The sequence below is a fragment of the Homo sapiens genome, chromosome 9 (genome assembly GCF_000001405.40).
Source record: "Homo sapiens chromosome 9, GRCh38.p14 Primary Assembly".
NCBI classification, from domain to species: domain Eukaryota; kingdom Metazoa; phylum Chordata; class Mammalia; order Primates; family Hominidae; genus Homo; species Homo sapiens.
In genome coordinates this window covers 119,317,929-119,330,568 of record NC_000009.12, presented here as the reverse complement: position 1 = coordinate 119,330,568, position 12,640 = coordinate 119,317,929, and the positions used below count along the sequence as shown (strand labels likewise).

The 12,640-nt window shown below is 41.8% G+C and overlaps 1 protein-coding gene across 1 annotated transcript in view, besides 1 other annotated feature; it reads left to right on the top strand.

Annotated features, from left to right (window-relative positions):
* The window catches only part of BRINP1 (BMP/retinoic acid inducible neural specific 1), a 202,807-nt gene that overhangs the window by 38,867 nt on the left and 151,300 nt on the right, over nt 1–12,640 (top strand). The window lies entirely within an intron of this gene.
* Nucleotides 7,716–8,216: an enhancer, noted in NCBI's record as "H3K4me1 hESC enhancer chr9:122084631-122085131 (GRCh37/hg19 assembly coordinates)". NCBI's record gives its function as "activates a minimal SCP1, AML or CMV promoter by ChIP-STARR-seq in primed H9 embryonic stem cells {active_cell/tissue: H9 hESC(primed)}" and the evidence as "EXISTENCE:reporter gene assay evidence [ECO:0000049][PMID:30033119]".

The window sequence follows — 12,640 nt, the reverse complement described above, 5'->3', positions numbered from 1 at the left end:
ATGAGATAGAAACACAAAGAAGAATGGACAATGTCAGCAAAGTCCCAAATATGGGAGGGTTCACTCCTACTGGTGTTCAAATAAAGGCCTCCAGAGAAGATACTGGAGATGAATTGTCAAGGGACAGTAAGAATTTGCTCTTTAGTACCTAGAGACATGGAGGCATTTCAGAGAATTTGCAAAACCTTGAGGCAACTGTAAGAAGTTTGGTATGCTGGAGGGAAGAGCATGGGGGAGTGGATGGTGGTGAGGTGAGTTTGGAAAGTAGGCAGGGTAGAAATAAAATGCCTTGTTAAAGAATTTGGACTGTATCCTTCAGGTGATGAGGAGGTAAAGATCAGTCTTAACAGGGAAATTAGATGGCTCTGGTTTAGCAAAAGGCAGAGAAAGAAAATGGTGAGCACTCCTAGTGTCTTTTCGAATTCTGAGACATGTGGAAAAGGTTAAAAAAAATTGGCACCCTCTGTAATATGTTCACATCCCTCACTGGTGGACCATGGATGTGCTTCTGTGTGGGAAATAAATTGTTCTCTATCAAAGTGAAGAATTATGAGAAAGTATAAGACTGAAAGCCCAGCTCGGGGCCTATGGCAGGAGTTTAGATCCAAGTCTACTTCTCATCCAAGTAGAACATTAAATAGGTATCACTGGCTAGTGGATTCAGAAACCAGATTACATGGATTTGGATCTTGCTGCTGCCTCACAGTAGCTTTGAGACCATGGGTCTCAGAAAGTTCTAAAACTTTCTGGCTTTTTTCTCACCTATGAAATAGGAATGATAATCACATCTTCAGATGCTTGTTTTGAGGGCTCAGTGAATTATGCCTGTTTTATTAAAATAATTTACTGGTGTTACCTCTCTGACTGTTCATTTTCTCATCACTGAAATGAAGAATATAAATCTTTGTCCTGTGTATGTTAAAAGTGGCTGAGAGATCAAATGGGAGCTCAGTTCCTTGGCAGCATGAAGTTTTACTGGAATGCAAGGATGGTGTGAGGAGAACCTTGAGAGAGTGGGAAGAGGCAGAGTGCTCAATCTCAACACTGAACCTGTGATTGCCGGCCCAGGCACATCCAGCATCTGCTTAAACACTCATGTGTCCCCTGCCTTCTTTCTTGGATTCTATGATTGTCACAGACAAGTGACAGCTGTGGCTGTACTTTTAGTTCATCATTTAAAAGGTACTCTATAAAAGGATGACAACATTGCAGAAGAATTAGCTGAACCATGGTAGTTTCTATACAAATGAATCCACCAAGAACTTTTCACCTGATTTCAGTAGGGACCTGCTGGAAACATCAGGCCAAGGGTCAGAACTTTTGATGAGTAAATATTGGAATTTGGATTCAAACACAAAACTTAAGTGTTTTATCTATTTGCTCCACTGAATATTAAGAATAATTAACCCCAGGGAAGAACTCAAAGCCACTAACTCACCAGAACAATCTGTTTCTTTATTGAGTCGCTGTATCTTGAGCACCTGTGTAGTGCCTGTTTCTATCTTTGGCATCTATTTCTGCCTCCAAGTCTGCCTCCAAGCTCTTCAATATGCCTCTGTGGGGGCAGCAAACTTTTCTTATTCTTTACATTTCTTACTCATTTTAGTGGTGGGTTTTTATGATTCCATGCTTTTGCTCACACTGCTCTCATGACCTGGAAAACTTTCTCTTGGGTTTTTTTGTTTGTTTGTTTTTGTTTTGTCCTTTCAGCTGGCACATCCTTGTTTGAACCATTCTCAGCTCCCCTGAGAAGTCTTTTTGACTCCCAAGCCAAATCTCAGCTCCCCTGAGAAGTATTTTTGAACTGGCTCTGTTTGAGTTACTTCTTCCTTCCTTTGCTCCAACAACATTGTTCAGGTCTCTGATACTCAATCTATTGTTTTGTAATTTGGGTTTTACAGATTTATCTCCGTTATCAGCCTATGGCTCCCTAAAGTCATGGACACTTTCTATTTAATTACCAAGTGTCTGGTCCAGAGTTTGGCCACCCTATCCCAGACTCCATTCCACTCTCTCAATAAGTGCTAATTATCTTTCTGTCTCATATTCTATTATTTAATTCTAGGTCTATCCTAGAATTAAATATACTAAAGTCTTTCCATAAAGAAAACAAAAAATCTTCCATTGACTCTTGGCTTCCCTCTCTGGTAGGGAGAAAGGAGAGCCATTTGCTCTTCTGCTTTTTCCATCTTAGCCAAGTACTGTATACTCTGTGTCTCCATTGACTCACATCCCATTCATGCCTTAATCTCTTTCAATGAATCTTCTGTTTCCATCATGCTGTTGACAACTGTCAGCTACCTCTGTATTCTTAATTCTAACAGATATTTTGCATCTTTATCTTGTTCTAGCACTCTGTAGCCTTTGAAACTTGAGACCCTTTTCTTCTTACACACCCCTGCTCCCCTGGCTTTGTTGCCATTATTCTCTCATAATTCCCCTTCATCCATCGTACTATCTCTTTTCAGTCCACTTTATGATATCTCTTCCTCTTCATGCTGACTAAAAATGGGCATTGCTTACTATTTATTTGCATTACTCTTGACTCATGAGTTTACTGAGTGGTCTCATCCACTCCTGTAGTTCTAATCACCACTGGTTCATAGTGATTTACAAATATTTACCTCTAGCCCTGGCCTTTCTTCTTCTTTTTTTTTTCTCTCAAGGATTCTGTAGCCTACTAGAAATCCTAACTTGAATGTCAATGGACACCTCAAATGCAACAGATCCAAGAGGGAACTTGTCATCATTTACTCAAAACCCATTCCTTTTCCATTATTCTTTATTGTCATGAATAGCACCAGCATTAACCTGGTTACCAAAACAGACTAAGAGTCATTGTATACACCTTCCTTTTCTCACTTCATCCACCCAGTCACCAAATCTTGCTAATTTTGCTTCTCATTTTTTTCTTTCCATCTAATACAAGATGTCTTGTTCAGACCATGTATAATCTATAGTGTCCTCAATTGCTTCCTCATCCTACCTTAAATCTCTCCACTAACCCCTGCAGTTGGAGTAATTCATCTAAAATGAAACTCTGACATAAAGCTACTGTGTTTAGAAGGTTCCCATGGTTCCCTGTGATCCCATGGAGTGAATCCTAGCTCTCAATTTGTACAGTTCATCCATTCAATAAATATTGATTCAGTACCTACCCAATAATTAGTTCCAGATGCTGGACATACATAGGAGGGGAAACAGGAATCTTGGTCCTCCACAGGGAGGGGAACAACATACACTGGGGCCTGCCTGTTGAAGGCACTGTAGGAGAGAGCATCAGGAAAAATAGCTAATGCGTGCTGGGCTTAATACCTAGGTGATGAGTTGATAAGTACAGCCAATCACCATGGCAAATGTTTACCTATATAACAAACCTGAACATCTTGCACATGTACCCCAGCACTAAAATAAAATAAAAAAGAATCTTGGTCCCCAAGAAACTACCAGTTGTTGGTAATGATATGGTTATGTAATAAGTGATCCCACTGAGGTTTTGCTTCATCTTCTGCCACTCCCTGCCTCAAAATTCCCACTGCAGCAACTGGGAAATGTTTGTAGATTCCATACTCACAACACACTCCTTCATGCCATTTCACATGCTTCTCTTGGTCTGAAATGCAGGCCAAACTTTTCATTACCTCACAAATGTCTCTCTGTCTTCTAAGGCCTCATCTAGATGTCATCTCCAGGAAGCATTTCCAGAGACCCTAGTTTAGGGGCCCGTGTTCCACAGAACCCTGGACGTATCCTGTCTTTGCTCTGTTATTACATTATACTGAAATTACCTATTTCTATGTCCATCTCGCATTCTGGACTGTGAGAGCCAATTAAAATAGAGGATCAAGAAATATCTATTGAATTGTAGCAAACTGGCCTACAATAAACACTCCAAAATATTTATTTCACTTCCCCTTTTGAAAGATCTCTTGCATAGACTGCTGATAATTTGGGGAGAAAGCTCCAAAGGCAGTCTCCCTGAATTTAGACCCTCACATTTCTAAATGTGGGTCCAAATGAAATATTTAAAAAGAAAAAAAGTGCTATACATAACTTAGGTTTATATTGTTAATAAAATATAATAGGATCACAGAAAAAAATTACAAAAATAATTATTCTACATATTTTAACTTTTATTCAGTTTTCCACGAACTTCTCTAGATTCACTATTTCTAGGAGTTTCATGCTTCAAGATGATTTATCAGAAATTCTCTTTATTAACATTTTTACAGTTGATTTGTGGTAGTTCACACTGGTCAAAATAAGAAAACTACAATTAGGGATGATGTGGTTTCTTAGCTTACTGTTTTAAAACCCTGAGTCATAGCACTTAGAATTGGTTTAGGTTTAAGTTCAATTCTGCCATTTTTAGGTACTACAACACTGGAAAAATAATCAGATACTTTAAAAGGGCCTCAGCTTTATCATCTGCAAAAATCAAAATAATGCAATTTAATGTCTTATGGGATTGTTCTGTGGATTTAATGCTATTGGGCATGAGAGTCTGACATAGTATCTAGCAAGTAATACATGCTCAATAATCTTTCATTCACTCTTACTAATAAATTTAGCCATGAATTGCCTATTATAAAGTTGGGAAACAGGGATGGGCATTGCAAGGAGAGGGAACAGTCTAAACAAGGCACTGAGGCATGGAGATTTACAGTGTGTTCAGTTGGTGCAATTGGGGAGAGAATCTGGAGAACAAGATGAGTTGAGGATGGGGTGTGGAAGCATGGAAGTAGGAAAAGGATTCAGCTTATTGTTGAAGGCAAGACTAAGGGGTAAAACAATCAATAGGGAATGGCTGGATCTGCTAGATTAGGTGAGTGTCATGGTTGCATCTGTATTTTGATAGATCACTCTGGCAACAAGGGCTTAGGATGGAGGTGGTAGACAGACATGAAGCAAGACGACCAGTAGGAAGATGGTTGTGATAATCCAAGTGAGAGTTAGTCATGTTCCAAATGGAATGACAGGTGTCAAACGAGGATAGGCTTAGAAAAAAGAAGTGTGTAAGGCAAAGGGAAGAGTGTAAGATTGCTCTGAGGTTTAGAGAGAAGGGAGAAGAATAAGACTGGCAAAGGAAGTAGATGGATGTGAAAGCAAAGTAAATTGACAGGATGTGGAAATGGTTGTGGCAGCAGTGGCAATGGCCGAATAGGGTGGAGGAAAAAGGAAAAGTCCCAAGCTTCTCACAGGCATGATTTGGGAGATTGTATGGTTTACTTGGATGGGGAATACTGGGAGACAGGAAAGTTTGAGAGGGTGATAATGAGTTTGGTTGGGGATATTTTGAGCTTGAGAAGCCTGTGTGATTTCCTAGAGATGTTGATTATGTGGTTAAAAATAATAATGTAAAATATACAAATTATAATGAACACTCATTCCAGAGTTTTCTTTTTTCCTCTCTCCTCTTTCTCTCTTTCTCTCTTTCTCTCTCTCTCTCTTTCTTTCTTTCTTTCCTTTTGACAGAGTTTCACTCTTGTTGCCCAGGCTGGAGTGCAATGGCGTGATCTCAGCTCACTACAACTTTCGCCTCCCTGGTTCAAGCAATTCTCTTGCCTCAGCCTCCCGAGTAGCTGGGATTACAGGCATGCACCACCACAGCCAGCTAATTTTTGTATTTTTAGTAGAGATGGGGTTTCTCCATGTTGGTCAGGCTGGTCTCGAGCTCCCAACCTCAGGTGATCTGCCCACCTCGGTCTCCCAAAGTGTTGGGATTACAGACATGAGCCACTGTGCCCGGCCATTCCAAGGTTTTCTAGAATGTTTTTGTAAGATACACATGTAGCAATCAGTAGAAATTTTTGGCAGTATTCCTTCCTATGAATGTATGTATATAAATTATTTACACATATTAACTTTACTAGCTAATATCTCAATTCCCCAGTGTTCAAGATTCACTTAGAGCAAGGGTCAGCATTAATGATAGCAGATGTAAATCCATACTTTAGTCTTCATGATTATCTTGAATCTTCCAATTCTTGATAAACCTGATTAAATCTCACTTTTGATTGAGCATTGTAGGGTGGCTGGCCCTTCACCATTTTCTTGTTTGTGTTGTCTTGAATTATTTTCATTATTGCCAATTAAAAGTTTCTTCCTAATAGTATTTTGAAGCCACTTGCTCATTTTAGTTAAAGTCAGATGATAGAATCCTAAACTCCATATCACTAGGCACCGATAAAAACACCAAGTTATCACAATACCCCAAAGGAAAAACAGAACCCACTGTGCAGTAGGGCTTCTGCTCTTCACTTCATGACCATTGGTGACTTGTGACTGGTATGTGGGATGAGTCTTGAAGATAGGTAGTAAACAAGTACACTAGAAATTCTAAGAATTTTTTTTTTTTTGCCTTGTATACCCTGATTAGTAAATTCTCATTGGAATTAATTGGACGTTTGTACTGAGTTGGGCACCAAGGTGTTTTAATTCATGAAATCTTCCCTTTGGCTAAACAGGATTCATAGGGCAAGATCAGAAAGAAACAAAAGCAAAAACCACTTGCTTCTTTTCACCCACTTTTTAGACTTAACTCTTGGATCAGGTTTCCTCTGACATTTGGATGAAAGTTAAGGAAAGACCATAATTTTTTCAGGTGAAAATTTGGGGGGTTCACCTCTATTCTCCATACATAGTCTCTGCTCAGTAATCAATCTGTCTAGTTCAGTATATTACAACAAATATTTTATTTAAAGTGGAAACTTCACTCTTCCTCCAGATTTTCCTCTTTCCCCAAGTTACAATTTTACCATGCCTCCTCCATCTTGCTAACCTTGACCTCTGACTTCTTCAAGGCATAAAGTTTGGCCAACAATGGAGAAGTGAGAAGGTAGAAGGATTCTTCCTTGATGAGTATTTTCTGATGATCTAGCATCAGTGCTTTGCAGCCTTGGCAGATGTTTAATGCTAACCTTTTCTTACTGGCAGCATTTCTTTGGGGGTGTTTTTGGAGTTTTCCTTTTTCTCTGGGATTTCTTACTTGTGATTCCTTTGATGTAGGAAAATGTATCTTTAGCTGCTTGCCTGTCACTTATCCTTTGGACCCTTGGTACATGGCAGGGAGATTATTCCAGTTTCCTGTCTCTGGCATCACCTCTCCCTCTGGGTCAGGATTGAAAGCAACCTCACCCAGTTTTCCCTTGTAGGTGGCCCACCTCTGATCTATGTGGAGGGGACACATTCCTTTTACCCATGAACTAGGCAGTTGCTTCCCAAATTGCAGCCCCTGCTCTGCTGCTGGGTTTCAGCCTGCCTCTCTTTAGATTTCTCTCTTTGGAATTTTTGTTTGAGATTTCTCTGATGTGAGTTAGACACCAATCCTCCATGTTCTCCCAAGCTCCAGGAGACCTTTGCCATGCTCTTTGAGTTGTCCTGTGGAAGCTTGAGGTGAGGGGCCTCTATACCCCATTCTGCCCATGAGAAGTTTAGAGGGTAGAAAGGAGGGCTCAGCACTGTCAGAGGCCACTCAAACTCCACTCCTAGTCCTGGCATCTTACTTTTCATGCTGTGATGTGGGTAAGAAGTTAAGAATCCCCAAAAAGTGCATTTTGGTTGCCTGTTTTTATAAGTCCTATATGATGGTCGTGCACCTGTGTTTGGAATATGGTAGCTGTAGTTTTGGGGTTCAGTTGAAACTAAGACAAATAGTTACATTTTAAAATTATGTTTAATTTGGATCTGAACCCCAAGAGATGTGCATCCCCCTGTTACTGCCCACATTTTACAGATGAGGAAACTGAGGCACAGAGGGGGTTAATAACATGCCCAAGGTCACTCAGCTTTGAAGGTCTGCATTACTGGGGAGAAGTCTTATCTGGAGAAGCAGATTTGAGAGTTAAGCCTAGATGAGATTATCCAGTTGACTCAGGTTTAAGAGGCAAGTATTGTGGGTTAACTTCCCAGATGCGATCATCAGCCCAGTTTCTCAGGCACCTGGGCGGAGGGAGGGAGGAGGCATTCCCTTCTACCTCTGGCCCAGAATATGGGTCATGGCCCAGCAATCCATGCAGAAAGCTCCAGAGGATGAGCTTGGTAACAGCGCTGCTGGAAGGTCATTCTCTCATCTCCTCCTCCTGAGTGTGTGCCTCGGATGTAAATAATTTACAATAGCAACAATTAGAGAATGCATTCTGTGTGGGATGAACCCGACTCCCTTAATAACACTGCAGGCTTATATATAGCACAGTTCAGCCAAGGGCCCCACGTGCTCACCACGCCACAGCCAGTGTTGGCGGCTCTGGGTAGACCAGAGCCCTGTGCAGCAATGGGCCTGTGACTCACTGAAGGTCGCAGGAGGTCAAGGGCAGCACTCAGAATAGAACCAGCCTCTCTTTCACAAGCTCTAAACTCCAGTGGCAGGAAATTCCCTTTGTGAATCTTTTGGAAGAACAACAGTTCTGAAATGCATAGTAGTAGATATTCAAGACTGTTGCTAGGGCATGGGGCTTGGGAGATGTGGCCCTTGAACATGGAAATGTATATTTCCGGTGTATTTATTGTTAATTTGTTGATTTTGGAGGCAAGAGGAGAGTGGCTCAACCCAATGGCTCTAAGGGAGAGTAAGTTGGGTTCTACGCTGTTGATAAAAATGTGGAGATGGATGAATGACCTTCTGGAGCAGTGTCATAGAGTATGAGGGTTCATCCTGACCCCCGCTGCCCAATAGAAGTAGAATACCAGCCACATGTGTAATTTTAAAGTTTCTAGCAGCCACCTTAATTTTTTATTTCATCCAGTATTTCCCAGATCATAATATTCCAACATGTAATCAATATAAAACATTAGTAAGCTATTTAAAATTCTATTGGCCAGGCATGGTGACTCACACCTTTAATCCCAGCACTTTGGGAGGCCAAGGGGGGAGGATGGCTTGAGCCTCCCCAAAATAATAAAATTAGTCTCTACAAAAAATAATAAAGTTAGCCAGGCATGGTGGCACGTGCTTGTAGTCCCAGCTAGTGGGGAGGCTGATGCAGGAGGATCGCTGATGCGGTGAGCTGGATTTGTGCCACGGCACTCCAGCCTGGGAAATAGAGTGAGACCCTGTCTCAAAAAACTAAAAAATAAATAAATAAAAAAAATAAATAAATTCCATTATTCTTGCTAAGTCTTTGAAATGCTGGTGTGTATTTTTATGAATAGCACACCTCCATTTGGACTAGCCACATCGAAAGCTCTTGATAGACACATGTGACCAGGGGCTTCCAAACTGGGCAGCACAGTCTCCAGTTCTAAATCTGCTGTTTGCCAGCTTTGTGGTATGAGGCCAGTTACTTCGCCTTTCTGAACCTCAGTTTCCCCTCCTCACCATGTATAAAATGGGGACCAATGGCCGGGTGCGGTGGCTCACGCCTGTAATCCCAGCACTTTGGGAGGCCGAGGCGGGTGGATCACGAGGTCTGGAGATCGAGACCATCTTGGCTAACACGGTGAAACCCTGTCTCTACTAAAAGTACCAAAAAATTAGCCGGGCACAGTGGCAGGCGCCTGTAGTCCCAGCTACTCGGGAAGCTGAGGCAGGAGAATGGCGTGAACCCGGGAGGCGGAGCTTGCAGTGAGCCGAGATAGCGCCACTGCACTCCAGCCTGGGCGACAGAGCGAGACTCCGTCTCAAAAAAAAAAACAAAATGGAGACCATAACCCCTCCCTCTCCTGGTATTTCTATGGGTCACATGTGTAAAGCAATAAGTGCAGTTTCTGGCACATAGTAAGTGTCCACTTAATGTGTGATTTCTTCCTCAAAATGACTTTCACAGCAACTAAAGTATAAGCTCCCTGTGGGAGATGGAAATGCAACCTGACTTCTGATTATAGCCGAGCATTGAACCCACCCTGTCCCTGTCTCTTTTCCTTTCTTCCACTGACATTGCTTTTCCCTGAGGCATCTGCACCATTCATCTCTTTACTTTCTTTAGGTCTCTGCCTGGAAGCCCCTTTATCAGAGATGCTTTTCCTGAGCACCCTCGCATAGAAAGCAGCACCTCCACTCTCAGCCCTCTGACCTGCTTTGATTTTGTTCGGAGCACTTCGCACTCACCACACGTAGAGTCAGTGCCCATTTGTTTCCTCCCCTCTCCCTACTAACCAAAAATAAGCTCTTTGAGGGCCCTGGCTGTTCTGTCCACTATTGAATTTCTATCTTCTAGAAGAGTACCTGACACATAATAGTTGTTCAGTATGGTAATGAATGAATAGATAAATTTATTGACCATCCACAATGCTTTTTGACTTTAGCAGGTAGTACAGAAATGAAATCCACAGTTCATTTGATGAGAGGGAGATAGAGTGAGAGATGGGCGATCAGCTGCCTCAGGGCCCTGGTTCTCCCTAAGTACTCTGCCACCTGGTGTGCTATCCCCAGCACACACCCCATCACTCTCCTACCTTCTCCCACCCACCCAAGGCTTTTGTAGGCTGTCTGTTCTGCTGAAATTTCCTTTTCCCCATCTGTGCTCAATAAAACTGTACATGCTATTTGAAACCCTTCTCAAGTACTACCTCCCTCTTCTATGGGGTTCTCTCAGTGCCTTTGCTGAAAACAGTCTCTCTGGCATCCATTCCTCCGTTGGACTTCATTTCTTTATTATAGTATTTATGGCAGCATATTTCATATTAGAATTGTTCACACTTGGGTGTGACTCCCCCATTATATTTTGAATCTCTGGAGAGCAGGATCTAATTTCAGCTGGAATGAGATGAGGCTGGGGAATGCTGGAAATTGTACAGACTGTGTAATGGGATATTCACAGGTTAGAATCCCAAGTCTGACACTTGGGAATTGTGAGCTTAAGAAAGTTATTCAATGTCTCCAAGTCCTAAGGTGCTCATTTGTTAAATTGGGTAACTGTGCCCATTTTGTGGAATACATCTTTATTAATAACTGCTCTGGACTGTATGCTTTGGCAACTACCAAGAAAATAAACCATTTTAAAGCCAGCATATAGTAGATGCTCAATAAATACCAATAATGTGACTCTCATATTATCTGGAGTCTCCAGCACAGTTGGTGCTAATATGGTCTTATTTACATAATGGGAGTCACTCCCTGCCATCATAACATATATGGGTAACATATGTACTCATCCTTGTTCCAGCCCAACAAAATATCCATTTCCATTAATAAAGTCAAGGACTCTATAGAAACTTTCATTTTCATTTCTGGTGCTCTGCGGATTACTGTGATGTTCTAAATCAACAGAGATATATTCTGACTTCTTCCATGAAACATTCATCTCTACTTGAGGAAATGTAGATGGTATTACAGGCCCTAAGAACAAAGCAGGTTGAAACATAGCCATACATGCCAAGTGCCTGGCCAAGACAATGTGGCAGAATGAGAAGAACTCTTAACCGAGAGCTAGAAGATAGGAGTCTAGCCCAATTTGCCACTCAGGTTATGATCTGTAAAAAGGAGTTGGATTAGAGCAGGGTTTCTCAACATTTGCATCATTGACATGTGGGGTCCCGTATTCTTTGTTGTGGGGGCTGTCTTGTGCAGTGTAAGATGTTTAGCAGCACCCCTGGCCTCCACCCATCAGATGCCAGCAGCATCCCCTCAGTTGTGAGGATCAAAGATGTTCCCTGGGGAGCAAAAGGTCCACACTTGGGAAGTACGAGTTAAATCTTCCAAATTTCAGCTAATTCTGGGACTGTAGGCTGAGGTCTCACTCTCCTGCACACACACACACACACACACACACACACACACACACACACCCCACACATTTCTCTTCCATGTATGACCTTGTTCCACTTTTGAGAGCTGCAATGTTCTGAGCCTTGTTTCTTTGCAAACAGTCTAACAGCTAAGTATTCTCTCACAGGCTCCCACCCTGCACCAGTTTACAATAGAAGCCATGTAGAAGGGCTGTGTGGGTGACACACTGTGACTTCAGTGTGTTGTATCACTACCAGGATCTCCCAACAATCGCCTTCATCCCCTGCTTGCCACTTGGGGGCTCTGGCAGACAGTTTGGCAGCCGTAGTTGTTACTGTTCTGCACTCAACATGTACGGATTTGTTTTAGGCTCTGAACAAGACCTCAGGCCACAGCTTTTGCCAGCTCACTCCTCTGCTCATGTACCTTTCTCCTTTGCCCCTGACAACTGAGACTTGCAGTGACAAGCAGATTTTTGTAGCGACTCATGATAAAACAGTGCAATGGGCAACAGAGAGAAATAACCAACTGGGCAATAAATCACATTTCTCTTTTAAATTTTTTTCTCTTTCTCAGCTTTGCTTTATCTTTCATATTCAGCTGGAAAAGTAGACAAATGAGGTGTCATATTTAATCATGTATATAGATGGGTTTACAGTTGACAAATTGTTTGTGTCCTCACCACATTTTCACATGGAAGACATAAAAATCTGAGGTCTTGAGAGGGGACATGACTGTCCACAGTCATGCAGCTGAGCGAGAGTAGCTAGTTTTCTAAAGATCATTTCCAGTTAAAGGCTTACAGCCCAATGAACAAGACAGACATAGAAACAAATACAGGCATATCTCAGAGATTTGTAGGTTGCGTTCCAGATGACCACAATAAAGCAAATATTGCAATAAATTGAATCACCCCAATTTTTTGGCCTCCCACTGCATATTAAACTTATGTTTACAGTATCCTGTAGCCTATTA